This window comes from Homo sapiens, chromosome 6, assembly GCF_000001405.40.
Source record: "Homo sapiens chromosome 6, GRCh38.p14 Primary Assembly".
Taxonomy (NCBI): Eukaryota; Metazoa; Chordata; class Mammalia; order Primates; family Hominidae; genus Homo; species Homo sapiens.
Window position 1 is genome coordinate 167,069,950 of NC_000006.12, and position 26,993 is coordinate 167,096,942.

Sequence of the window (26,993 nt, forward strand, 5' to 3'; positions counted from 1 at the left end):
ATTGATTTTGTATCCTGAAACTTTACTGAATTCATTTATTAGCTCTAGGAGCTTTTTGGTGAGTCTTTAGTGTTTTCTAAGTATATAATCATATCATTGGCAAACAGTGACAGCTTGACTTTCTCTTTACTGATTTAGATGCCCTTGATTTCTTTCTCTTGTCTGGTTGCTCTAGCTAGGACTTCCAGTACTATGTTGAATAGAAGTGGTAGAAGTGGGCATCCTTGTCTTGTTCCAGTTCTCATGGGTAATGCTTTCAACTTTTCTTCATTCGATATAATGTTGGCTGTGGGTCTGTCATAGATGTCTTTTATTACCTTGAGGTATGTCCCTTCTATGCTGATTCTGCTGAGGGTTTTTGTTGTTGTTGTTCTTTTGTTTTTTGTTTTTTGTTTATTTTTTTGTATTTTTAGTAGAGACGGGGTTTCACTGTGTTAGCTAGGATGGTCTCCATCACCTTACCTCGTGATCCGCCTGCCTCGGCCTCTCAAAGTAAGTGCTGGGATTACAGGCATGAGCCACCACACCTGGCCCTGCTTTTTTTTTTTTTTAGACGGAGTCTCGCTCTGTCACCAGGCTTCAGTGCAGTGGTGCTATCTCGGTTCACTGCAACCTCCGCCTCCTGGGTTCAAGCGATTCTCCTGCCTCAGCCTCCTGGGTAGCGGGGACTACAGGCGTGCGCCACCACGCCCAGCTAATTTTTTTTTTTTTGTAGAGATGGGGTTTCACCATCTCTACATCTACATGTTGGATTTTGTCAAATGCTTTTTTTGCATCTATTGAGATGATGATATGACTTTTGTTTTTAATTTATTCTGTTTATGTGATGCATCACATTTATTGACTTGCATATGTTAAACCATCTCTGCACTCCTGGTATGAAACCCACTTGATCATGATGTATTATCTTTTTTATATGCTATTGTATTCAGTTAGCTAGTATTTTGTTGAGGGTTTTTGCATCTATGTTCATCAGGGATATTGGTTTGTAGTTTTCTTTTTTTTGTTATGTTTTCTCCTGGTTTTTGTATTAGGGTGATAGGGTTTTAGTGGCTTCATAGAATGATTTAGGGAGAATTCCCTCTTTCTTTATCTTTTGGAATAGTTTCAGTAAGGTTGGTACCAATTCTTCTTTGAATGCCTGATAGAATTCAGCTGTGAATCCATCTGGTCCTGGACTTTTTTTGTTGGCAATTTTTTATTACTATTTCAATCTCACTGCCTGTTATTGGTCTGTTCAGAGTTTCTGTTTCTTCCTGGCTTGATCTATGTGAGTTGTATATTTCCAGGAATTTATACATCTCCTCTAGATTTTCTAGTTTGTGCACATGAAGGTGTTTATAGTAGCCTTCAATGATTTTTCTGTATTTCTGTGGTATTGGTTGCAGTAGCTCCCATTTCAGCTCTAATTCAGCTATTTCAGTTCTAATTGATCTTCTCTCATCTTTTCTTGGTTAATCTTACTAATGGTCTATCAATTTTGTTTTATTTTTTCAAAGAACCAGCTTCTTGTTTCATTTAGCTTTTGTATTTTTTTTTGTTTCAATTTTATTTAGTTCTGCTCTGATCTTTGTTATTTCTTTTCTTCTGCTGGGTTTGGGTTTGGTTTGTTCTTGTTTCTCTAGTTCCTTGAGATGTAACCTTAGATTGTCTATTTGTACTCTTTCATAGTTTTTGATGTAGGCATTTAATACTGTGAACTTTCCTCTTAGCACCACTTTTGTAGTGTCCCAGAGGTTTTGATAAGTTGTGTCATAATTATCGTTCAGTTCAAAAAAATTTTTAATTTACATCTTGATTTCACTGTTGACTCAAAGATTATTCAGGAACAGATCATTTAATTTCCATGTATTTGCCTGGTTTTGAGGGTTCCTTTTGGAGCTAATTTCCAATTTTATTCTGCTGTAGCCTGACAGGGTACTTGATATAATTTCAATTTTCTTTAATTTACTGAGACTTGTTTTGTGGCCTATCATATGGTCTATCTTGAAGAATATTCCATGTGCTGATGAAAAGAATGTATATTCTACAGTTGTTGGGTAGAATGTTCTGTAAATATCTGTTAAGTCCATTTGTTTTAGAGTACAGTTTAAGTCCATTGTTTCTTTGTTGCCTTTCTGTCTTGATGACCTGTCTAGTGCTATCAGTGGAATATTGAAGTCCCCCACTGTTACTGTGTTGCCATCTATCTCATTTCTTATGTCTAGTAATAATTGTTTTATAATTTTGGCAGCTCCAGTATTATGTGCATATATATTTAGGATTGTGATATTTTCCTCTTGGACCAGTAATTTTATCATTATATAATGTCCCTCTTTGTCTTTTTTAACTGTTGTTGCTTTAAAGTCTGTTTTGTCTGATATAAGAATAGGTACTTCTGCTTACTTTTGGTGACCATTTGCATGGAATATGTTTTTCCACCCCTTTATCATAAGTTTATATGAGTCCTTATGTGTTAGGTGAGTCTCTTGAAAACAGCAGATACTTGGTTGGTGGATTTTTATCCATTCTGCCATTCTGTACCTTTTAAGTGGAGCATTTAGGCTGTTTACATTTAATGTTATTATTGAGCTGTAAGGTGTTGTTTTATTCATTGTGCTAGTTGTTGTCTGAATACCTTGGTTTTTGTTGTTGTTGTTGCTCGTTGTGTTATTGTTTAGTTCCTGTAAGATTTATGCTTTTAGGAGGTTCTATTTTGGTGTGTTTTGAGGTTTTGTTTCAAGATTTAGAACTCCTTTTAGCATGTCTTATAGTGCTGGCTTGGTAGTGGTGAATTATCTAAGCATTTGTCTGAAATAGACTTTCTTTCTTCTTCATTTTTGAAGCTTAGTTTTTCTGCATATAAAATTCTTGACTAGAAATTATTTTGTTTAGGGAGGCTAAAGATAGGACCCCAATCCCTTTTGGCTTATAGGGTTTCTGCTAAGAAATCTGCTGTTAATGATGGGTTTTCCTTTATACATTATCTGATGCTTTTGCCTCACAGCTCTTAAGATTCTTTCCTTTATCTTGACTTTAGATAACCTATGATGACTAAGTGCCTGGGTTATAATCATTTTGCAATGAATTTCCCAGGTGTCTTTTGAGCTTCTTGTATTTGGATTTCTAGGTATCTATTGAGGCTGGGGAAGTTTTCCTCAATTATTATCTCAGATATGTTTTCCAGACTTTTAGACTTCTCTTCTTCCTTGGGAACACCAATTATTCTTAGATTTTTCATTTACCATAATCTCAAATTTCTTGGGGGCTTTGTTAATTTTTTAAAGTTATTTTTTATTTTTCTTTGTTGGATTGGGTTAATTTAAAAGCCTTGTTTTCGAGCCTTGAGTTTCTTTTTTCTACTTGTTTGATTCTATTGTTGAAACTTTCCAGTGCACTTTGTATTTCTCTAAGTGTGTCTTTCATTTCCAAAAGTTGTGATTATTTTCTCTTTATGATACCTATTTCTCTGGAGCATTTTTTTCTCCCAATCTTGTATTATTTTTTAAATTTCTTTAAGTTGGTTTTTACCTTTCTCTAGTACCTCCTTGAGTAGCTTAATAATCAACCTTCTGAATTCTTCATCTGACAATTCGGAGATTTTTTTTTCTTGGTTTGATCCATTGCTGGGGAGCTAGTGTGGTCTTTTTGGGGTGTTATAGAACCTTGTTTTGTCATATTACCAGAATTACTTTTTTGATTCCTTCTCATTTGGATAGACTATTTCAGTGGAAAAATCTGGAAGTCAAGGGCTGCTGTTCAGATTCTTTTGTTCCACAGGATGATCCTTTGATGTGGTGCACTCCCCCTCACCCTAGGGATAGGGCTTCCTGTGAACCAGATTGCAATAATTGTTGTTGCTTTTCTGGGTCTAGTTACCCAGCAGGTCTACTGGGCTTTGGGCTGGTGTCTGCAAAGAGTCCTGTGATGCAATCCATCTTCAGGTCCCCCAGCCATGAATACAGCACCTGCTCTGGTGGAGGTGGCAGGGGAGTGAAGCAGACTGTGTGAGAGTCCTTGGTTGTAGGTATGTTTAGTGTGCTGGCTTTCTCAAATGCTGACAAGATACTATTCTTGAGCTATCACAAGAGCATCTTTAAACACTTAGAAATTAAACTGTACATTACATAGTCCTTGGGTAAAAGAGGAAGTCTCAACAGATGTTGGAAAGTATTCTGAACTGAATGAAAATGAAAATATATCAAAACACATGGGATACACTAAAGCAGTACTTAGCAGAAAACATAAAGCATTCAGTGCTTATATTAGAAAAGAAGGGATTTAAATAGAATCTTATTCAAAAAGAAGAGGAAAATAAATGCAAAAATGATAAAAACCAAAATCAATGAAGTTAAAAATAGAAAAACAATAGAATCAGTGAAACCAAAATCTCATTCTTTGAAAATATCAGTAAAATTCATTAAGCTCTAGCAAGACAAAGGAAAATGAGAGAAGACAGAAATTGCTAATAAAATGAATAAAATACCAAATCTCACGATAGACCCCATAAAAAGGCTCATAAAGGCATACCATGAAAACTCTTTACACATGAAATTGATGACTTGGGAAAAATGTCTAAATTCCTTGATAGATACAAATTACCAAAATTTACTCAAGAAGGAATAGGTATCCTAAATGGTCCTACGTCTATTAGAGAAATTAAATTTGTTTAACAGCAAAATCTTTCAAATAAGGAAACTCTAGATCCAGATGATTTTACTGATTAACTCTACCAATCATTTAAAGAAGAAATAATAGAAATCCTTCACGAAGTCTTGCAGAAATGAGGAAGAGGGAGCACTTCTCAACAGACACCAAACCAGACGGACAGTGCACTAAAATAACCCCCCAACACCCATGTCCCTCATAAACACAGATACAAAAATGTGGAAAAATATTAGCAAATGAAATCCAGCAATAGGTAAAATTAATAATACATGGTGACTACATTGAGTTTTTCTGGGGGAGTGCTAGGGTGGCTCAATATTTGAAAGACAATGCCATCCAATATGTTAACATTCTAAAGAAACACCACCTTATCATGCCAATTTATGTAGAAAAATCATTCATTTGATAAAATTAAACAGCCATTCATGATAAAATTCTCAACAAACTAGGAATAGAAGGGAATTTACTCAACCTGATAGAGGATGTCCACAAAAAACCTACAGCTAACATGATGGTGGAGGAATGAATGCTTTCCTTCCAAAGCTGTCCATTCTCATCACTCCTGCTCAATATTGTACTGGAAGTGATACCCTGTGCAATAAAAAAAAGAAAGAAAAGCTTACAGATTTGAAAGAAGATACAAAACTGTTCCTACTCACAGACTTGGTGATTTTCTATGTAGAAATCCTTGGCCTTAGGATTCCAGACAACCTTGATCCCCCTCCAATTTCTCACACTGTTCACTCAGTGTATTCAGCTAGTGTTTAGCTCTGTGACAAAGATTCTCTGTCACCTGGGTCAGAGGAAACTAGAGCTGACTCAGGGTCCAGCTGGTTCTCATGCTTTACATCCAGTTTGCTCCCTTCTTTCCCACTCGACATCCATTTTCGTTCCTGACTGCCTGCCCTGCCAACCTGAAGCACCAGCATCAAATGGAGAGAAAACAAACTTACCTTCCGAATAGATTTTCTACTGGTTTTGCTTCTCTGGTTAAACTCTGAGACAGTTATTTAATCTCTCAGTTTCATTATCTAAAAATGGGAAATCATACCTATTTAATCAGTTCAATCAGTTCATGGTTTTTGGTTTTTTTTTTTCCTTTTTGAGATGGAGTCTTGCTTGATGCCTAGGCTGGAGTGCAGTGGCGTGATCTCAGCTCACTGCAACCTCCACCTCCCAGGTTTGAGTGATTCTCCTGCCTTAGCCTCCTGAGTAGCTGGGATTACAAGCACAAGTCACCACGCCCAGCTTATTTTTATTTTTTTGTGAGGACGGAGTTTCCCCATCTTGGCCAGGCTGGTCTCGAACTCCTGACCTCAGGTGATCCGCCCGTCTTGGCCTCCCAAAGTGCTGAGATTACAGGCATGAGCCACTGCACCCGACCATCTCATGTTTTTAGAAACATACTTGCTAGGTATTTTTTTCTGTTAGAGAAAAGGGATCTACCTGTCTCCCTGTCTTCCTTCCTTCCTTCCTTCCTTCCTTCTTTCCTTCCATCCTCCCTTCCTCCCTCCCTCCTTCCTTCCTTCCTTACTCCCTTCCTTCCTCTCTCCCTCCCTCCCTCACTTCCTTCCTTCCTCTCTCCCTCCCTCCCCCTTTCCTTCCTTCCTTCCTTCCATCCTCTCTCCCTCCCTCCCCTTTCCTTCTTTCCTTCCTTCCTTTTTTTGCTTCAAATGACATGAGAAGAATGATTTAGTGTTCCATCGAACGTTTATCCAAAAGTAGCAGAGAGTTATATTTAAATGGCAACATTAGTTCACCATTTCTGCCCAGTAGAACTTGTTCAAAGACATCAGAAAACCTCCCCTTTCTGAAGGAGTCACCTGGACAGTCCACAGACCCCAGCCATGATCAGAGCATCTCCCAGTGTCTGTCCCTGAAACCAGGTGGGCTCATGCCAGCGAGTGGGGTGGGGTGAAGTGTTTTGAGTTGGGCTATTGAAACAGGGAAAAGGTTCCACTTTCAACAGGGGGCTGGAAGCAAAGCAGATGCTATCTGCACCCCAGTGAAAACTGTACCTTATGGGACAAAGGCAGAGCAAGATTGTTGGGCTGGACTCTGCCTCTGAGTGTCCTGAAACTTGCCTCATTGCAAGGAAATAAATCTAAGTTAGACTTTGTCCAGGAAGGTGAGGCAACCCCTAATTTTGTCAAGATTTTGAGGCAGTACTAAAGGGGTGGTGAAACTTGGTGACTCGGAATTAAGACCTATTTTCTCATCTTCTTTCTCCTGGAAATTTACCTATAGTGTTTTTATCTGCTAAACTCTTTAGAGTGGAATACTTTAGACTTGTATTTTATAAATCTTAGTTACCAGAGTCCTTAAAATTTTGGATAGATCTTGTCTAAACTAAAATAGTAAATCCTTGGATCTTAATTAAACATAACCATTATAGAAATCAAGTTGATGTGTCAATTTTTGAAAATTCATTCTCCAGCTCTCCAGAAAGAAGGGGAGAATGGATTTGGGGGAACAGCCAGCAGGTGGTTACATTGGTTTTTTCTTTATAACAAAGCCTCAGCAGTTTGGCAAAAAAAATCGGTTCAGTTTCTGATTTTTCCTTAAAATAACCTGGACAATGTGGTGACTAAGTCAGATGTGAGTTGGAGACAAAGCACCTGGCCTGGGAGATGTAATTACGAAGCAGATCAGCTTCCTGAGTCCCCTTTTGACGCTTCCCCCTAGTGCCCCATAGCCTCATTCCTCACGGTGCAGCTGTTCAGCATCTGACCTTTCCAGTGACCTCCAGAATGGCTTGCCCTTCCTGGAATCCAGTCCTATAACTCGTACCGTCATGTGGGGAAAGAGGGTCAGTACATAACAGGCCAATTTTGTGTTGAAATCTAATTCTGAAGTGCACGGATTGTGTTAGGGTCAAACCATTTCCACTCTCTCCGAGTCTCAGTTTCGCATCGGTAAATGGAGATAACACCTAGCTTGCATAAAGGCTGTGAGTTTTAAATGGGAAAACCATATCTAATACATAGTGGGTTCTCAGACTTTATTATTTTCTGCTCACCTCTGCGATTCCCAAGCTGTCGAGGATGTTAAGAGGACCGAGTTCTTGCCAAGGTCCGTCAGTCCTCAGCAATGCGTAAGGCTGTTAACAATTGTCTGTGGGGCCGCCACACAGAGCCAGCAATTCTCAATGGTGTATGTTCCAGACATAGGGCGCAGGTGTAGAGACAGATCCATAGGTCACAGCTTCTCTGTTTACCAAGAGCAGAACATAGGCCTGAGCTCTGACCCTAGTTTCATTGCTTACAGGCCTGTGACTCTGGGTATGTTTTCTTTCCTCTCTCAATTCCACTTTCCTCATCTGTAATATTTTTTTTTTGCATAGGTTTATTAAGAGAAATATTATTACTCCATGCAAAGTACTTAGCACATTGCTGGGTACAGAGAAATCACTCACATATAGTTAGCCAGAATTATGAATGCAGCCTGTTTGATAACATCTAGGAAGTGAAATCCCACACTCTTAAAAAGGTGAAGAACAGATTGCAATGATCCCAGCACATAAATAGCCTTCAGAGTCTGTCAAAAACACATCTTGGTCTTAGTTCGTTCTGGCTGTTGTAACAATAGACATTTATTTCTCACAGTTCTGGAGGCTAGAAGTCCAAGATCGAGGTGCCGGCAGATTCGATGTCTGGTGAGGGCCCAATTCCTGGTTCACAGACGGCACCTTCTTGCCTTCACTGCATCCTCACAGGGAGAAGGGACGAAGGAGCTCTCAGGGGTCTGTTATACGGGCACTAAGCCCATTCATGGGGTTTCACCCTCACGACCTAATCACCTCCCAGAGGCCCCACCTCCTAATAGCATCCCTTTCTTTAAGGGTGAGGATTTTGACATAGGAATTTTGGGGACCACACAGATATTCAGCCCATTACACCATATTGCATTTTAGAGAGACGTAATCCAGTCCATTGCAGCTTCTCTTGCAGAAGTGCTCTAGAAGGGTAAGACAGTTTTAAGACTGTTTATCTTTATGCAAATCTTTGTTTGCCTTTGGATTTTTCCAAACCTGTTACTTATGATAAAACACCCATACCAGTAAGGAGAGGCTAGACTCTCCTACAGTAACCAGCAGCCTCATGTCTCACCTGGCTCTGTGTCCTCCCAGGCCTGCCCCACAGGGCTGTCACTTGGAGGTGCTGCACGTGGTTCCACCCTGTGGGGTACCAGGGAGAGGAAAGAACAGAGCAAACTGGACACCAGAACCAGAAGGCTTCGCTCAGAAGTGCACACATTGCCTTCGTCTCAGTAAATTAGCAGAGCAAGTCCTGTAACCCCCGACAGTGATGAAGGCTGATCTGTTCCGTGCTCAGAAGGCGGAGACCTGGAAATACTGATGAAACACGAATGACTGCCCCACAGACACAGAGAAAGATGAGAGATTCTGGAGCACACTAATTTCACTTTCAGATAACATGACTCTGGCGTTCTATAAATGCCTGTGCCATGTGAGATGTCACAATGGATGACAGCTTTTTATTCCCAGAAGAAAATTCAAAATAAGACTCATCATTTTATGGTCTAATTTAAAGTGATATTTAGGAATACCTTTTTCTAGGAACACCTTTTTCTAGGAACTAATAATCAGATAAAGTTGGGTTTGGGACTGTAGACTTGGAGCCTGAAGCAATACTCTTTCTATAATGAAAATCTGAGTATAGTTGCTTCTAACAGCAAGTGAGGATTTCCTACAGAGTGTTGCTGAGGGGCTGATAAGAAACCTTTTCAGAAAGAACAGCAGATTCCTATAGACCCTATTCCCATGGAAGCATCAGCAGGAACTCCTTTTCTTTTGGTGAAAACTTTCATGTCATTGGATGATCTGTTATTAGACGACACTGCCTGAGTTCTATCTTACGATGGGGAATTGGCGTTTCTTAAGATCTTCCTTTAAATATAGCACAGATCCCCAGTATGCACATTTTCACAGAGGTGGAAGCTTTAGAAACACTCATGTAGCAGCAGATGTCTACTGTGCTCTAGCATAAGTGGAATGAAATATTCCTTAATATAGAGGGACACACACAGGCAGAACCTCTAGCGGGTCTGTGAATAATGGGAATGAAAAGTGGAAGTCCTATGGCCGGCAAGGTAGATTCCTGGGCTTCAGAGGAGGATATGAAATATTTATAGAAAACAAAATGAAATATGAACAACACATTTATCATGTTCTCCAGGCATGATAATATGTGATTTGCAGATGAGACATTCATTTGAAAAGCAAGTACACCATGAACCCTGGGACGAGGCTGTACGTTCCTAAACATGCTTGGCTTACGGCCTGGCTCAGAGCAGGGCTTGCCACATGTCATGTCACTCACAGCCATTGAGGGGCACTGCCATTTGTGCTGTTGCTGTGCTTTTTGGTCTGTCTTGGAAACCTGGGGAAGTCCCCGTTGTTCCAGTGGGGCCCTTGATAAACGTCTCAGTTTCAGGTCCTCAAGTTGAGACATCCTTTCAGTCAACTTGTGGAGTTTCTAATTCTGTGTCACTGCCTCCAGTAGAGCGCGTTTTGTGGTGGAGAGCGATGAGAGCCTCAGATCCTCGGGAAGTGCTCCACGGGTCCCGGGTCTGGCTCTCATTGTGTGTGCCAGAGCCTTGCTGCCCAAAGTGTGGCCCCAGGCCAGGGCCTTGCTGTCACCTGGAGCTCTCAGGCCCTCCCAGGGCTACTGTATCAGAACCAGTGAATCCACATGAATTCACATTGCAGTGCTTCGTCTGCACATGAAAGCTTGAGAAACACTAGCCTAGAGAACACCTCAGCATCCTTTCTGAATTAGAAGTTATGCTTTCTAGGGTTCTCATTAAGAAATGGGCAGTTGCACAGCCAATCAATGAAAATGGCTTTGCGTTCCCTGAATCTTCAACTTCTGAGAGAAGGAGGAATGTTTTTTTTTCTTCCACTCTGGTCCCCAAGAACCACTACAGGCGTTCCTTACAGAACAGCAAATGACACAGCGTTCAGCCCCAACAAGTGACCCGAAGACGCGTCCCTCATCTCATGCTTGCCTGTCTAGGCCTCACCCTTTCTCAGTTGAAATCAGTCACTGCAGCAGCGTTCGAATGGGGTCACTGGAGAAAACAGCCGCAACTTCCTGGTCCTCCGTGGGAATGGCTGAAAGTGGAAGATGGAGAGAGAATCCTGAGAAAAACCCTCCATAGGTCAGCCCCATGTCAGCCCCAGCATCTATCACCGGAGGGTTCTGAAGCTTGTGGTGCACTGAAGGTGATAATTATAAAAGAAAAAATCAAATCCAGCTCCACTCCTGACTAGATGGGCAAACACTTCATCCCCTGCACCACACATGAAGCTTTCTTTTTTTATTATTATACTTTAAGTTTTAGGGTACATGTGCACAACGTGCAGGTTTGTTACATATGTATACATGTGCCATGTTGGTGTGCTGCACCCACTAACTCATCATTTAACATTAGGTATGTCTCCTAATGCTATCCCTCCCCACTCCCCCCACCCCACAACAGGCTCTGGTGTGTGATGTTCCCCTTCCTGTGTCCATGTGTTCTCATTGTTCAATTCCCACCTATGAGTGAGAACATGCAGTGTTTGGTTTTTTGTCTTTGCGATAGTTTGCTGAGAATGATGGTTTCCACCTTCATCCATGTCCCTACAAAGGACATGAACTCATCATTTTTTATGGGTGCATAGTATTCCATGGTGTATATGTGCCACATTTTCTTAATCCAGTCTATCACTGTTGGACATTTGGGTTGGTTCCAAGTCTTTGCTATTGTGAATAGTGCGGCAATAAACATACGTGTGCATGTGTCTTTATAGCAGCATGATTTATAATCAATCCTTTGGGTATATACCCAGTAATGGGATGGCTGGGTCAAATGGTATTTCTAGTTCTAGATCCCTGAGGAATCTCCACACTGACTTCCACAATGGTTGAACTAGTTGACAGTCCCACCAACAGTGTAAAAGTGTTCCTATTTTTCCACATCCTCTCCAGCACCTGTTGTTTCCTGACTTTTTAATGATCGCCATTCTAACTGATGTGAGATGGTATCTCATTGTGGTTTTGATTTGCATTTCTCTGATGGCCAGTGATGATGAGCATTTTTTCATGTGTCTTTTGGCTGCATAAATGTCTTCTTTTGAGAAGTGTCTGTTCATATCCTTCGCCCACTTGTTGATGGGGTTGTTTGTATTTTTCTTGTAAATTTGTTTGAGTTCATTGTAGATTCTGGATATTAGCCCTTTGTCAGAGGAGTAGCTTGCAAAAATTTTCTCCCATTCTGTAGGTTGCCTGTTCACTCTGATGGTAGTTTCTTTTGCTGTGCAGAAGCTCTTTAGTTTAATTAGATCCCATTTATCAATTTTGTCTTTTGTTGCCATTGCTTTTGGTGTTTTAGACATGAAGTCTTTGCCCATGCCTATGTCCTGAATGGTATTGCCTAGGTTTTCTTCTAGGGTTTTTATGGTTTTAGGTCTAGCATTTAAGTCTTTAATCCATCTTGAATTAATTTTTGTGTAAGGTGTAAGGATGGGATCCAGTTTCAGCTTTCTACATATGGCTAGCCAGTTTTCCCAGCAGCATTTATTAAATAGGGAATCCTTTACCCATTTCTTGTTTTTGTCAGGTTTGTCAAAGATCAGATGGTTGTAGATATGCGGCATTATTTTTGAGAGCTCTGTTCTGTTCCATTGGTCTATATCTCTGTTTTGGTACCAGTACCATGCTGTTTTGGTTACTGTAGCCTTGTAGTATAGTTTGAAGTCAGGTAGCATGATGCCTCCAGCTGCGTTCTTTTGGCTTAGGATTGACTTGGCGATGCAGGCTCTTTTTTGGTTCCATATGAACTTTAAAGTAGTTTTTTCCAATTCTGTGAAGAAAGTCATTGGTAGCTTGATGGGAATGGCATTGAATCTATAAATTACCTTGGGCAATATGGCCATTTTCACGATATTGATTCTTCCTACCCATGAGCATGGAATGTTCTTCCATTTGTTTGTATCCTCTTTTATTTTGTTGAGCAGCGGTTTGTAGTTCTCCTTGAAGAGGTCCTTCACGTGCCTTGTAAGTTGGATTCCTAGGTATTTTATTCTCTTTGAAGCAATTGTGAATGGGAGTTCACTCATGATTTGGCTCTCTGTTTGTCTGTTATTGGTGTATAAGAATGCTTGTGATTTTTGCACATTGATTTTGTAACCTGAGACTCTGCTGAAGTTGCTTATCAGCTTAAGGAGATTTTGGGCTGAGACGATGGGGTTTTCTAGATATACAATCATGTCATCTGCAAACAGGGACAATTTGACTTCCTTTTTTCCTAAGTGAATACCCTTTATTTCCTTCTCCTGCCTAATTGCCCTGGCCAGAACTTCCAACACTATGTTGAATAGGAGTGGTGAGAGAGGTCATCCCTGTCTTGTGCCAGTTTTCAAAGGGAATGCTTCCAGTTTTTGCCCATTCAGTATGATATTGGCTGTGGGTTTGTCATAGATAGCTCTTATTATTTTGAGATACGTCCCATCAATACCTAATTTGTTGAGAGTTTTTAGCATGAAGGGCTGTTGAATTTTGTCGGAAACCTTTTCTGCATCTATTGAGAAATCATGTGGTTTTTGTCGTTGGTTCTATTTATATGATGGATTACGTTTATTGATTTTCGTATGCTGAGCCAGCCTTGCATCCCAGGGATGAAGCCCACTTGATCATTGTGGATAAGCTTTTTGATGTGCTGTTGGATTTGGTTTGCCAGAATTTTATTGAGGATTTTTGCATCGATGTTCGTCAGGGATATTGGTCTAAACTTCTCTTTTTTTATTGTGTCTCTGCTGGGCTTTGGTATCAGGATGATGGTGGCCTCATAAAATTAGTTAGGGAGGAATCCCTCTTTTTCTATTGATTGGAATAGTTTCAGAAGGAATGGTACCAGCTCCTCCTTATACCTCTGGTAGAATTCGGCTGTGAATCCATCTGGTCCTTGACTTTTTTTGATTGGTAAGCTATTAATTATTGCCTCAATTTCAGAGCCTGTTATTGATCTATTCAGAGATTCAACTTCTTCCTGGTTTAGTCTTGGGAGGGTGTATGTGTCAAGGAATTTATCCATTTCTTCCAGATTTTCTAGTTTATTTGCGTAGAGGTGTTTATAGTATTCTCTGATGGTAGTTTGTATTTCTATGGGATTGGTGGCGATATCCCCTTTATCATTTTTTTATTGCGTCTATTTGATTCTTCTCTCTTTTCTTCCTTATTAGTCTTGCTAGCAGTCTATCAATTTTGTTGATCTCTTCAAAAAACCAGCTCCTGGATTCCTTGATTTTTTTTTAAGGGTTTTTTTGTGTCTCTATTTCCTTCAGTTCTGCTGTGATCTTAGTTATTTCTTGCCGTCTGCTAGCTTTTGAATGTGTTTGCTCTTGCTTCTCTAGTTCTTTTAATTGTGATGTTAGGGTGTCAATTTTAGATCTTTCCTGCTTTCTCTTGTGGGCATTTAGTGCTATAAATTTCCCTCTACACACTGCTTTAAATGTGTCCCAGAGATTCTGGTATGTTATGTCTTTGTTCTCATTGGTTTCAAAGAACATCTTTATTTCTGCCTTCATTTCGTTATGTACCCAGTAGTCATTCAGGAGCAGGTTGTTCAGTTTCCATGTAGTCGAGCAGTTTTGAGTGAGTTTCTTAATCCTGAGTTCTAGTTTGATTGCACTGTGGTCTGAGAGACAGTTTGTTATAATTTCTGTTCTTTTACATTCGCTGAGGAGTGCTTTACTTCCAACTATGTGGTCAATTTTGGAATAGGTGTGGTGTGGTGCTGAGAAGAATGTATATTCTGTTGATTTGGGGTGGAGAGTTCTGTAGATGTCTATTAGGTCCGCTTGGTGCAGAGCTGAGTTCATTTCCTGGATATCCTTTTTAACTTTCTGTCTCATTGATCTGTCTAATGTTGACAGTAGGGTGTTAAAATCTCCCATTATTGTGTGGGAGTCTAAGTCTCTTTGTAGGTCTCTAAGGACTTGCTTTATGAATCTGTGTGCTCTTGTATTGGGTGCATATGTATTTAGGATAGTTAGCTCTTCTTGTTGAATTGATCCCTTTACCATTATGTAATGGCCTTCTTTGTCTCTTTTGATCTTTGTTGGTTTAAAGTCTGTTTTATCAGAGACTAGGATTGCAACCCCTGCCTTTTTTTGTTTTCCATTTGCTTGGTAGATCTTCCTCCATCCCTTTATTTTGAGCCTATGTGTGTCTCTGCACATGAGATGGGTTTCCTGAATACAGCACACTGATGGGTCTTGACTCTTTATCCAATTTGCCAGTCTGTGTCTTTTAATTGGAGCATTTAGCCCATTTACATTTAAGGTTAATATTGTTATGTGTGAATTTGATCCTGTCATTATGATGTTAGCTGGTTATTTTGCTCGTTAGTTGATGCAGTTTCTTCCTAGCATCGATGGTCTTTACAATTTGGCATGTTTTTGCAGTGGCTGGTACCGGTTGTTCCTTTCCATGTTTAGTGCTTCCTTCAGGAGCTCTTGTAAGGCAGGCCTGGTGGTGACAAAATCTCTCAGCATTTGCTTGTCTGTAAAGGATTTTATTTCTCCTTCACTTATGAAGCTTAGTGTGGCTGGATATGAAATTCTAGGTTGAAAATTCTTTTCTTTAAGAATGTTGAATATTGGCCCCCACTCTCCTCTGGCTTGTAGAGTTTCTGCCAAGAGATCCGCTGTTAGTCTGATGGGCTTCCCTTTGTGGGTAACCCAACCTTTCTCTCTGGCTGCCCTTAACATTTTTTCCTTCATTTCAACTTTGGTGAATCTGACAATTACGTGTCTTGGAGTTGCTCTTCTCGAGGAGTATCTTGGTGGTGTTCTCTGTATTTCCTGAACTTGAATGTTGGCCTGCCTTGCTAGATTGGGGAAGTTCTCCTGGATAATATCCTGCAAGTGTTTTCCAACTTGGTTCTATTCTCCCCGTCACTTTCAGGTACACCAATCAGACGTAGATTAGGTCTTTTCACGTAGTCCCATATTTCTTGGAGGCTTTGTTCATTTCTTTTTATTCTTTTTTCTCTAAACTTCCTTTCTCACTTCATTTCATTCATTTGATCTTCCATCACTGATACCCTTTCTTCCAGTTGATGGAATTGGCTACTGAGGCTTGTGCATTTGTCACGTAGTTCTCATGCTGTGGTTTTCAGCTCCATCGGGTCCTTTAAGGATTTCTCTGCACTGGTTATTCTAGTTAGCCATTCGTCTAATCTTTTTTCAAGGTTTTTAACTTCTTTGCCATGGGTTCGAACTTCCTCCTTTAGCTTGGAGTAGTTTGATTGTCTGAAGTCTCCTTCTCTCAACTCATCAAAGTCATTCTCCGTCCAGCTTTGTTCCGTTGCTGGTGAGGAGCTGCATTCCTTTGGAGGAGGAGAGGCATTCTGATTTTTAGAATTTTCAGTTTTTCTGCTCTGTTTTTTCCCCATCTTTGTGGTTTTATCTACCTTTGGTCTTTGATGATGGTGACGTACAGATGGGGTTTTGGTGTGGATGTTCTGTTTGTTAGTTTTCCTTCTAACAGTCAGGACCCTCAGCTACAGGTCTGTTGGAGTTTGCCAGAGGTCTACTCCAGACCCTGTTTGCCTGGGTATCAGCAGCAGAGGCTGCAGAACAGCGGATATTGGTGAACAGCAAATGTTGCTGCCTGATCATTCCTCTGGAAGTTTTGTCTCAGAGGAGTACCTGGCCGTGTGAGATGTCAGTCTGCCCCTACTGGGGGGTACCTCCCAGTCAGGCTACTTGGGGGGTCAGGGACACACTTGAGGAAGCAGTCTGTCCGTTCTCAGATCTCCAGCTGCATGCTGGGAGAACCACTACTCTCTTCAAAGCTGTCAGACAGGGACATTCAAGTCTGCAGAGGTTTCTGCTGCCTTTTGTTTGGCTATGCCCTGCCCCTAGAGGTGGAGTCTATAGAGGCAGGCAGGCCTCCTTGAGCTGCGGTGGGCTCCACCCAGTTCGAGCTTCCAGGCCACTTTGTTTACCTACTCAAGCCTTGGCAATGGCGGGCACCCCTCCCCCAGCCTCGCTGCCAACTTGCAGTTTGATCTCAGACTGCTGTGCTAGCAATGAGTGAGGCTCCGTGGGCATGGGATTCTCTGAGCCAGGCACAGGATATAATCTCCTGGTGTGCCGTTTGCTAAGACTGTCGGAAAAGTGCAGTATTAGGGTGGGAGTGACCCGATTTTCCAGGTGCCGTCTGTCACCCCTTTCCTTGGCTAGGAGAGAGAATTCCCTGACCCCTTGTGCTTCCCGGGTGAGGCGATGCCTCACCCTGACATGAAACTATTTTTTAAGGGCATAAACAGTGTCTACTTTTACACATGATTTCCAGCAGTAAATCAAAAAATGACAGTTAAGAAAACAAAATAAAACAAAAACAAAAACAACTCATAGTCAACTTATAAAGCAATCAATCAATAGAACCAGAATTCAAGATGGCCCAGATGTGGGAACTCTAAGACAGGGGCTTTAAAATAACTCTGATGAGGCTGTGCATGGTGGCTCACACTTGTAATCTCAGCACTTTGGGAGGTCAAAGTGGGCAGATCACCTAAGGTCAGGAGCTCGAGACCAGTCTGGCCAACATGGTGAAACCCCATCTCTACTAAAAAGACAAAAATTAGCCAGGCGTGGTGCTGGGTGCCTATAGTCCCAGCTACTAGGGAGGTTGAGGCAGGAGAATTGCTTGAACCCAGAAGGCAGAGGTTGCAGTGAGCCAAGATTGCACCATTGCACTCCAGCCTGAGCGACAAGAACAAAAACTCCATCTCAAAACAAAACAAAAACAAAAACAAAACAATACAAAAAAGCCCTGAAGAATTTGTTAAATGATCTAGAGGAAAAGGCATATGGCATACATGAACAGATGGGAAATTTCAGCAGAGAGATAGAGAGTATAAAAGACATGTGGGAATGCTACAAAAAATATATAAGACATAAAGAATTCCTTCAGAAAGCTTATCAGTGAACTAGTCTCAGCTGAAGAAAGATTAAGGAACTTGAAGATAGGTCAACAGGAATCATATAAAATGACACACAAATAACATAAAATGGGCTGGGCACAGTGGCTTATGCCTGTAATCCCAGCACTTCAGGAGGCCAAGACAGGTGGATCACAAGGTCAGGAGTTCAAGACCCGCCTGGACAACACAGTGAAACCCCATCTCTACTAAAAATACAAAAATTAGCCTGGTGTGGGGGCATATGCCTGCAGTCCCAGCTACTCGGGAGGCTGAGGCAGGAGAATTGCTTGAACCCAGGAAGCGGAGGTTGCAGTGAGCCAAGATTACACCACTACACTCTAGCCTTGGCGACAGAGTGACACTCTTGTCTCAGAAAAAAAAAAAAAAAAAAAACAACAAAAAAAAAAACATAAAATAGAGGGAAAAACTCTGTCTAACAAGGCCTCCAAGAGCTGTGAGATCATCTAATGTACATGCAGTTGGAGTCCCAGAACAAGCAAACAAACAGCAAGGAATAAAACAGAAGAAATATTTAAAGAGATAATTTGCAAATATAATGCAAGACAGCAAACCTCAGGTCCAAGAAGCTCAGGGAATCCCAACAGTATAAATACAAAAACAAATAAAAAATCTCCATACCAAAAAAAAAAAAAACCCCACCTAGACACATAAAATCAAACTTTTTAAAACCAAAGATAAGGAGAAAATGTAGAATGCATTTGGGAGTTGTGGGGGACATTACATACCCAAGAAGAAAGATAATTGTAATAGATTTCTTGTCAGACATGTAAGCTGGATGTTAATGAACTGACATCTTAAAGTACTGAAACAATTAATCCAGAATTCTATTATTCTATTACAGATCCATTAAAATATTGTTTTAAATTAAAGGCAAAAATAAAAGCTTTTTAGACCCTGAAAAACTAAGATAACTCACTGCTGAGAGACTTGTGCTACAATAAATGTTAAAGGTAGTTCTTTAGGCTATAGGAAAATTATACCAGATAAAAATTTGGGGTTACACAGAGAAGTGAGCACCAGAAATAGTAAAAGTGGATATTAAAAACATTTTCTCATGGCTGATTCTTTAAAAGACTGTCAACTATGGTGGCCAGGTGCAGTGGCTCATGCCTGTAATCCCAGCACTTTGGGAGCCTGAGATGGGCAGATGGCTTGGGTTTAGGAGTTTGAGACAAGTCTGGGCAACATGGTGAAACCCTGTCTCTACAAATAATACAAAAATTAGCTGGGCATGGTGGTGTATGCCTGTAGTCCCAGCTACTCAGGAGGCTGAGGCAAGGAGGTTGAGCCCAGGAGGGTGAGGTTGCAGTCAGGCATGACTGCACCACTGCACTCCAGCCTGAGCAACAGAGTGAGACCCTGTCTCAAAAAAAAAAAAAAAATTGTTAACTAAATTAAAAATAGTAAACAGGGTTTATGACAGATGTAGAAATAAGATACATGAAATCATTTGCACAAAGTGGAGGAAGGAGTTGGAACTATCTAATGTCATAAATGCAAACTACTAAGGAATGATAATATTCTGAAATTGTCAGTTTTTTTTAGGCAAAGTAATAATTTCAGATCAGTTGCTAGTATCAATGAACTATCAATGTTTGAAATGTTTTCAGTATAAGTAGTTCAAGGGTCAGTATGAAACTTAAATTTCGAGGGAAAAAAACTAACATCATTTAATTCTGTGGTTTTCAGATTTAGCTAATATCAGAATCACCTGGAAGAGTTTGTTAAGCAAAGTTTCTGAGCTTTCTGGGCACTATCCCTGAAAAGTCTGATGTCACACATCTCCTGGAGGTAACGCCTCTCTGTTTAACAAGCAGCCTCTGCAGCCAACAGGTTTTGCTTCTCTGGGGAGGAAGTTGACCTCAGCTGCAGTGACCTTCCTGGAGAATTAAACAGAGGGGTGCAGATCCTTACACATGGCCCTCTACCAGGATGACGACCTCCCTCTAGAACAGGAGATACTAGTTTTACTGGTTAATGGCAGAGCCGAGTCAGGGGAGGCCAGAACCAGGCAGAAGTAACTTGAGTTTTCAGCTCTGGAGAGACTGCAGCCTTGGTCAAAGCCAAGAAAATCCCCGTCCTTGCGTTATTGAAGTGGTCAGTGTGAAGAAACAAGAACTCCCCAGACACTGGATCTCTTTGATTGATCTAAAGACCTTTCACTCCAGGCACATGGGGCCCATGAAAACTGTGGGCCCAGCAGCATATCACACCAGCCTCTTGGTGTGGTGCTCTCTGTGGTTCAGAATAGGAGCCTCTCGGGTCACTGTAGGACCCCACCGGCCCCTTTCCTCCAGACATAGGCCACAGATCAGCAATGTATTTTAAGCGACCCCGTTGGCGTTGGGCCATGTGTGTGGCATCTCTGTGGCAGCAGGTGGCCACATGCTCCTGAGTCTCAGACTGGAGGTGAATAGGGCAGCAGAAGAAGTCACCAGTGTTGAGCCAAGTCACAAAGAATAGGGCCAGTGGCAAGGGTGATGAATGGGTCAAGGGGATTGTAGTCAAGGAGCTGTGGGCCAGGGCTGGGCTCCATGCAGGATTGTGCCTGGGGGACCATCGTGGGAAATGGCTTCCTTTGAGCTCCTCAAATGGAAGCAAGAGTCAGCCTGGTTTTCTTCCCTCCAGGGAGCAACACAGAAAGGATTTTCTTTCTTCCACACAAGAGGAAGTTTTTAGGCTCTGCCAAGTAACCAAAGTAATAGAAACTGTGATGTCTCCAGAACTAGCCTCCAACTTCCTCCAGGTGGCAGGAAGGGGAGCAGCCACCTCGCCTCTGTGGCTGCTTTGTTTTTCCCTTCTTTTCTTGTTCCTCCATAGCCTACTTCCTCCATTTTGGGGTTCCTGTATGTAAAGTACTCATTGACCCAGAGATTGTATCTCAAAACCTTGTACCCAAAGGAGCAATTTTCCTGTGAACGTTCCCAAGACAGCGTTCCCAAAAGGTGTTACCAGCCTCAAGTCAGCAATCATAGTGTGGAACGGCGGTTTAGTTGTTGAGTGGAATCTCTTAGCAATCTTCCGACAAGCTGGATCAATCAAGTGAAGCTAGATTTCTATTGTTGATTTTGTTGTTTGTATGTTCTCATGACTTAGGCATGACCTATGTGCCTCTCCTCCTCCAGCTCTCCAATTTTCGCCATCCACTGTGTGTCAGACTCAGGCCTTTGAGGTGCCTGCATCTCTATATACCACACATGAGGCAGGTAGGGCTCAGAAAGATTAACAACTTTACACACATCACCCCATTAGGAAGTAGTAGGGTCAAGAGTCGAGATTCAAATGCTGATATAATTCCCAAGTCTGTGCTCTTAACCAGCAATATCATCTTCAAGTTCAGCAAAGAGTGTTTTGTGTTTCTCTATCCAAATGATGCCCATCTACTCTGTACCATCTATGAGCGTACACCATCTATACTCTCATATCCTCACGTGCCCATTTTTCCTGTAATTCCACTTCTTAGGCTTGTTCCCTTTAATACTATAACCAAGCGAGGGAATTTCCACTTTAAAAGGGAATTTGAAAGAGTAGAGTCTCATGTGACTTCCATTCATTTCCCTGACCTGTAGTTGTCCAAGGGACAGAGGGCGTCTTTGCATGTTCAGTCAGTCTAAACAGCTTTATTTGGCAAGATGTTTACCAGTTTCCATGGTCTTTGGCAAGATGTAAACATGGGCAGAGGGTCCCGAGTAAGAAGAAGTTGGAAAGGAAGTTGCCTGGCCACCGATGAGGCTTCGCGTAACTGTTCCACATAAAGGTCGTCTACTGTTTTTTTTTTCTCTTTCAAGTTAAACCTCTTCCCCTTTTTAGATGACAAGTCACAAAGCTGATCTACCCCAGATTGTGGCAACCTCACCCTATCTATACATCAGCTAAAGGCTGATCGAAGATCAGGTCTAAAGATTGTTGCAAAAAATGAGATAAGCTTTTAAAAAACCCCAGATTCTTTAATTTTGTATGTCAGTCATCAAGTCTTCATTCACACGCTCACTCAGCAACTCTTTCTTGAGCGCCTGCTGTCTGCGCTAGACCCTGGGTAGGCAGGAATGCAGGCTAAGCGCCTTCTCTATGGGGCCTTACATCCAAGCGACAACGTGCCAGGAGGGGACCAGTGCCCAGGAGAAAAGGAAGCAGCATCAGAGCCAGGAAGGGAGTTGGGATCGGGAAGCTCTTTTAAGCTGGGTAGTCAGGGAAGCTTGAACTGAGACACCCAAGGGGCCGACAGTGTGGTTGTCTGGAGAGCAACCTGGGAGAGAAGCAGCAAGGACCAGGGCCCTAGAGCAGGGACCGGCTGGACAGATCCCAGACACAGTGTGATTGCCGGGGCAACTGGCATAAACAACAGAGCTGGGAAGGACACAGGGCAGCGGGAGGAGAGCAGGGCAAGGGCGAGGGCTCCACGGGGCCTCTAAGTCATGGGAGGACACAGGGCATTATCCTGGCGCATGTGGGGTGCCCTGGGGAGCTCAGAACAGAATCCAGACATGATTTGAATCATGCTAAAGCTTTGCCTTCTCTGGAGGGCAAAAGTTTGGGGCAGGAAGGAGTGGGAATGACTGGCTATGAATGTGGGATATACACTATTAATACATCCTGGAGATGGCCAGGAACATTTGCTGATTTTGCTGACGTATTTGATGTGGAGAAAGAATCCAAGCACGACTGCAAGGTTTGGGGCCTGAGCAGTTGGAAGGACTGACTGTTGCTTTGATGATAGCACATGTCGGAGGAACAGGTCTGGGGAGTGAAATTGAGTTTGGCTTCAGATCTGAGACTCTTCTGAATACTCTGAGTGGGGGTCGGCGTCTGGAGTTCCACAGGAGGCTCTAGGCTGAAGACAGCGTGTAGGAGTGGAGTCGGTTAATATGATTATTAACTGGATAGTGTCTTCCCAAAATTCATGTTCACGCAGAATATTATTTGGAATATTATTTTATATTATTTGGAAATAGAGCCTTTGCAGTTGCAATTAGTTATGGGACTCAAAGTGAAATTATCTTGCATTCAGGGCAGGCCTTATGAAAACAGGAGAGAACGCAGAGACGGAGGGTTTGTGAAGACGGAGGCATAGATTGGAGTGATGCATTCACAAGTCAAGGGGCACCAGGAACTGCAGACCCCACCGGAAATGGGAAGCGAGGCTGGGGACGGTTCCCTGCACAGCCTCCAAATGGAGCCACCCCTGACAGCACCTCGATTTCGGACCTCTGGCCCCCGAAGAGTGAGGAAGTAGGTTTCCGTTGTTTTAAACCACATTGTTTGTGGTACTTTGCTGAGGAAACGGACTCAGGGCTCAGCCTGTAAAGGGTGTTTACAGCATGGGTCTGAATGATGCCCTCCAGAACCTGTGCCAGTGTGTGTTGATGTTGGGGGGAGGTGGCCAGGCAGAGGAGCTTCGTGAATCTTCTTACTAACCAGTGAAAAGCAACAAGGAAGAAACAGACGGTGCGTTCCAAAGTAATTCTGGCCAGTGCTGCCTCTGCAGCTCTCTGGGTAAAAGCTCCGTAAAGACTGAAAATCAGGGAACCTCACTCCTACCCTGGTGCCCAGTACTGAAGCTCGGTGCCCAGTACTGAAGCTCGGTGCCCAGTACTGAAGCTCGGTGCCCAGTACTGAAAATCATCCTTACAATATCAGCATTGGCTTGGAGGGGTGTTACATATTTTTAAATATCAGCTTTATTGGGATAACTTACATACAGCAAAATGCATCCATTCTCAGGGTCCACTTCAGTGAGTTTTGACAACGACTGTGTTCCAGTGTAACTGCAACCCCAATCAAGATCTAGAACTTTCTACTCCCACCAGCTTCCCTGAGCTCCCTTCCTGTCAATCCCTCCCCGTCTCTCCCTGCTCCAGGCAACTGCTCACCTGTTTTCTGTGACTAAATAGAAGAGGCTTCCCCTAGGGTTTTGCATACTTGGAACCCTACGGAAGGCACTGTCTGTGCCTGCGTCTTCGCCCCGGCGAGCTGTTTCCAGAATCCTCTGGGCGGTGGCCTCGCCTCCTGGGCTGCGCTGCGATCAGCTGGGGCAGGCTGTGCTTCTCTTACCAACCCTGCTTCGGTGACACCGGGTTGTTTGCCTGACATTGGCCGTGGTGTGAGTGTTGACCTCACAGAAACGGGCCCGGGCTACCAGCCGGGGCTGCGTTCTCCCAGAGCACTGGAGGATACACATCTGCCGGTCACACGCTGGCCATGTCTTTTCACATTCAGAATAATTTCCTGATCACTCTTCTGCCCATATGAGCAAAAGTCCAGTCTCCATGATTGCCCTGCCCCGGCCTGCTCATAGCTCACCCTCCCGTGTTCCCAGGAATCCCAGGAGCCCGCCTCGAGGGCCGTATCCTGCTTCCAGAGGCATCGTGGACAGAGAAAGGAAGCCCGAGGCCCATCCCTGGCTTGACTGCGTGGGACGCGTTCTCCGCTGCCCTTGCTTCCCTCACGTGGAGCGGAGAGCAGGCGCTGAGAAGGGGCCCTGCGTGGTGACCCACTAGGGTTAGTTCAGAGCCTTGTGCACACAGACCCGAGGGGGTTTTCAAAGGAAGCTGACACCCCCGCGAGCTGAGGGCGGCTGTTCTCACGCATGCTCAGTGGCGCTCCCTGAGTGCTGAGAGCCACGGTCGGTGAGAGAGGAGCTTCCTGATGAGCCTCAGACGGTGCTGAAACCAGCCGACTCTGCCCAGGATCCTGAGTCCTGGTTTCCTGTTGACCCTTCCTTCCCTCACGACTTATTTCCCCTGGGAACTATCGATGTTCTTTTGGCCAGTGGGCTTCCGTTGAGGCCATCCTAATCATCAGAGAGGTTTTAGTCGAGTTAAACCTCAAAAGAGAAGGTGTTTCTTAATTTTCCCAGGGGTGCCCTTGGCCCTGATACAGATTTAGCTACCTTCCCCCGAAAGCCTCAAAGTTCTGCAAACTCACAGCCAAGCAAAACGCAGCTGCAGTCGAGCCAGCCTCGAAAGGTCTTACAACTTTCTGCAGTGGCCAGCTTGTTCTCTGTTTCCATGCCTTCCAGAATGAAGAAGATCAGTTCTAAGGTTTCTTACTATTTCTACCAAGAGACGACCATCGGCATTCCACAGACGGCTCCTCTAGCTGTGCACAATGCCTGTTCTTATCGTTATCACCCGCTTCGCGCCAGCGGTTCTCAATACAAATTCCTTGAGGTTTCACAGTCACAGATAGGTTGTATTTGTAGGGAAACAGAAGTGCTTCAGTGGAATACTATTGCTCTTTGTACAGAAACCTGACACCTAGTACTTCTGAATTCTAATCCTAGTTCTGTTAACAATTGGCTTTGTAGCAGCCTAGATAAAGTCAAATTATTTCTCTGTGTAAAAGAAAAACCTAACCAGTAGCAGGGGCACAGTAGTCTATGTGCCTTCCCTCTGGGCTTGTGGTTAGTCAGCAATGGGGGCTTTGTGAACTGCGTAGACCAGCACCCCACAGTCTGTTTCAGTTCCAGTTTATCCCATTGTCTCACGTGATCTTGAGTCATTTAATCATTCTGTGCTTTTTCAGCCTTCAGTGTAACAAAATAATTTACTAAGCACCTAGCAACTTGGGGTTTGCTTGAGGTTGTTATATCTGATTAGATATATCTCTATTAGATATTAGATGTGTCTGTACATGTAAAGTATGATACATTATATCCCCACAAGCCAAACAGGCACACGTAAGGCCAGCTTATAGCATTGAGATTTGGAAGACCCCTTAGAAGGTAGATCAGTGACCAACAACTGGGCAAGAAATTCCCTTGACAATGCAGCTGCTTGAGTAGTTTCAGTTTCAGAGCTCTCCTGTGGCAAGTGAATTATTGGATAGTAGTGACTTATTCATGTGTTAGAAAGTCCTTCTTTGGATGAGCTGGTATCTACGGAAACTTCCCTTATTCTACTTTTGTCTCTGCACCTAGCATAGTTCCTGGTACAGTATATAATGAGCCCTCAGAAAATATTAGGGGAACTGAGAACAAGACTGTTTTCTTCCACACAGTAGCTCTTTAAAATTTGAAGGTAGCTCTCATGTTGCCCCCTAATTTTCTCATTTTGGGACTAAACACACTCACTTGCTATAATTCTTTATAGAGGGGTGTGGCCCCCGATGTGTGGCTGTGGAAAGGCATGGTCCCCAATGTGTGACCGTTCAGGTTGCGTTTCTGAACGCAACTCACATCACTTCTAAGATAGGGTGTCCAGGTCTGGAAGAAATGATCCATTTCTCTACTGATGAGCATAGCAATCTGTGGGCCTGTTGCTGTCCACGTCTGGAATACCAGCTAAGGTGGATTGATGGTGCCGATGGCCCCCATGCATAGGTTCCTGGCACTCCCATCCTCTGGGATGTGGTCCACAGCTCCTCCCATTGCAGGTGGAGGGTCTGCTTCCCCACCCAAGTCTGCCTTGGCCTGAGACTTGCTTTGACCAGTGGAATGTGAGCAAAGTGAGGCTGTGCCAGTTCCAGTCTGTGCCACCAGGTCCCTGCTGGAAACCAGCTTCCATCATGACAGCAGGCTGGGGCTGGCCTGCATGAGGGTGACAGAGCACAAGAGGTACAAGAGTTGTTCCTGTCAAGGCCATTCTGGACCAGCCTGCACTGGCTGACCGATTGACCAGACAGGGAGTGTGCTGGGCCAGGTCATAGTGGCCCTAGGACCACCCTGGAGACTTGGGGGCAATGTTGAATGGTTATCACTGTGTGTCACTGAGGTTTTAGGGTTGTTTCTCGGGCAGTGTTGTTTTGGCAATAGATAATTCATACACCCTACTACTAGCACTGCCCAAGACTGGATTATCTGTGACAGGGACTTATATCAGACTTGTGACCTATGACCTTCGTCTGATCACTTTTATGTATACCAATTTCCCTACCTGTGCCATCCAACATGGTAGCCACCAGTCATGTGTGACTACAGAGTGCTTGAAGCATGTTAGTCTGAAGTGAGATGTGCTATAAATATAAACTACACACCTGATTTTGAAGACTTTCTACAAAAATCTAAACGATCTCACTGACAATTTTTATTGATTACATGTTGAATGTATTATATTTTAGATATATCAAGTTAAAATAAAAATATTTGGAAAATTAATAATTTCAGTTTGCTTTGTTTTGTTTGTTTGTTTGTTTGTTTTGAGATGGAGTCTTGCTCTGTTGCCCAGGATGGAGTGCGGAGGCTGCAACCTCCATCTCCCGAGTTCAAGAGATTCTCCTGCTTCAGCCTCCCAAATAGCTGGGATTACAGGCATGCGCCACCACACCCGGCTAATTTTGTATTTTTAGTAGAGATGGGGTTTCTCCATGTTGGCCAGGCTGGTCTCAAA

The 26,993-nt window shown here is 42.9% G+C and overlaps 8 annotated features.

The window, feature by feature from the left end:
* Positions 8,905 to 9,084: an enhancer, noted in NCBI's record as "active region_25447". NCBI's record gives its function as "activates an Ori minimal core promoter by ATAC-STARR-seq in GM12878 lymphoblastoid cells {active_cell/tissue: GM12878}" and the evidence as "EXISTENCE:reporter gene assay evidence [ECO:0000049][PMID:35858748]".
* Positions 9,915 to 10,254: an enhancer, noted in NCBI's record as "active region_25448". NCBI's record gives its function as "activates an Ori minimal core promoter by ATAC-STARR-seq in GM12878 lymphoblastoid cells {active_cell/tissue: GM12878}" and the evidence as "EXISTENCE:reporter gene assay evidence [ECO:0000049][PMID:35858748]".
* Positions 10,300 to 10,800: an enhancer, noted in NCBI's record as "H3K4me1 hESC enhancer chr6:167493737-167494237 (GRCh37/hg19 assembly coordinates)". NCBI's record gives its function as "activates a minimal SCP1, AML or CMV promoter by ChIP-STARR-seq in naive H9 embryonic stem cells {active_cell/tissue: H9 hESC(naive)}" and the evidence as "EXISTENCE:reporter gene assay evidence [ECO:0000049][PMID:30033119]".
* Positions 22,432 to 22,491: an enhancer, noted in NCBI's record as "active region_25449". NCBI's record gives its function as "activates an Ori minimal core promoter by ATAC-STARR-seq in GM12878 lymphoblastoid cells {active_cell/tissue: GM12878}" and the evidence as "EXISTENCE:reporter gene assay evidence [ECO:0000049][PMID:35858748]".
* Positions 23,377 to 23,446: an enhancer, noted in NCBI's record as "active region_25450". NCBI's record gives its function as "activates an Ori minimal core promoter by ATAC-STARR-seq in GM12878 lymphoblastoid cells {active_cell/tissue: GM12878}" and the evidence as "EXISTENCE:reporter gene assay evidence [ECO:0000049][PMID:35858748]".
* Positions 23,557 to 23,926: an enhancer, noted in NCBI's record as "active region_25451". NCBI's record gives its function as "activates an Ori minimal core promoter by ATAC-STARR-seq in GM12878 lymphoblastoid cells {active_cell/tissue: GM12878}" and the evidence as "EXISTENCE:reporter gene assay evidence [ECO:0000049][PMID:35858748]".
* Positions 25,257 to 25,316: an enhancer, noted in NCBI's record as "active region_25452". NCBI's record gives its function as "activates an Ori minimal core promoter by ATAC-STARR-seq in GM12878 lymphoblastoid cells {active_cell/tissue: GM12878}" and the evidence as "EXISTENCE:reporter gene assay evidence [ECO:0000049][PMID:35858748]".
* Positions 25,517 to 25,596: an enhancer, noted in NCBI's record as "active region_25453". NCBI's record gives its function as "activates an Ori minimal core promoter by ATAC-STARR-seq in GM12878 lymphoblastoid cells {active_cell/tissue: GM12878}" and the evidence as "EXISTENCE:reporter gene assay evidence [ECO:0000049][PMID:35858748]".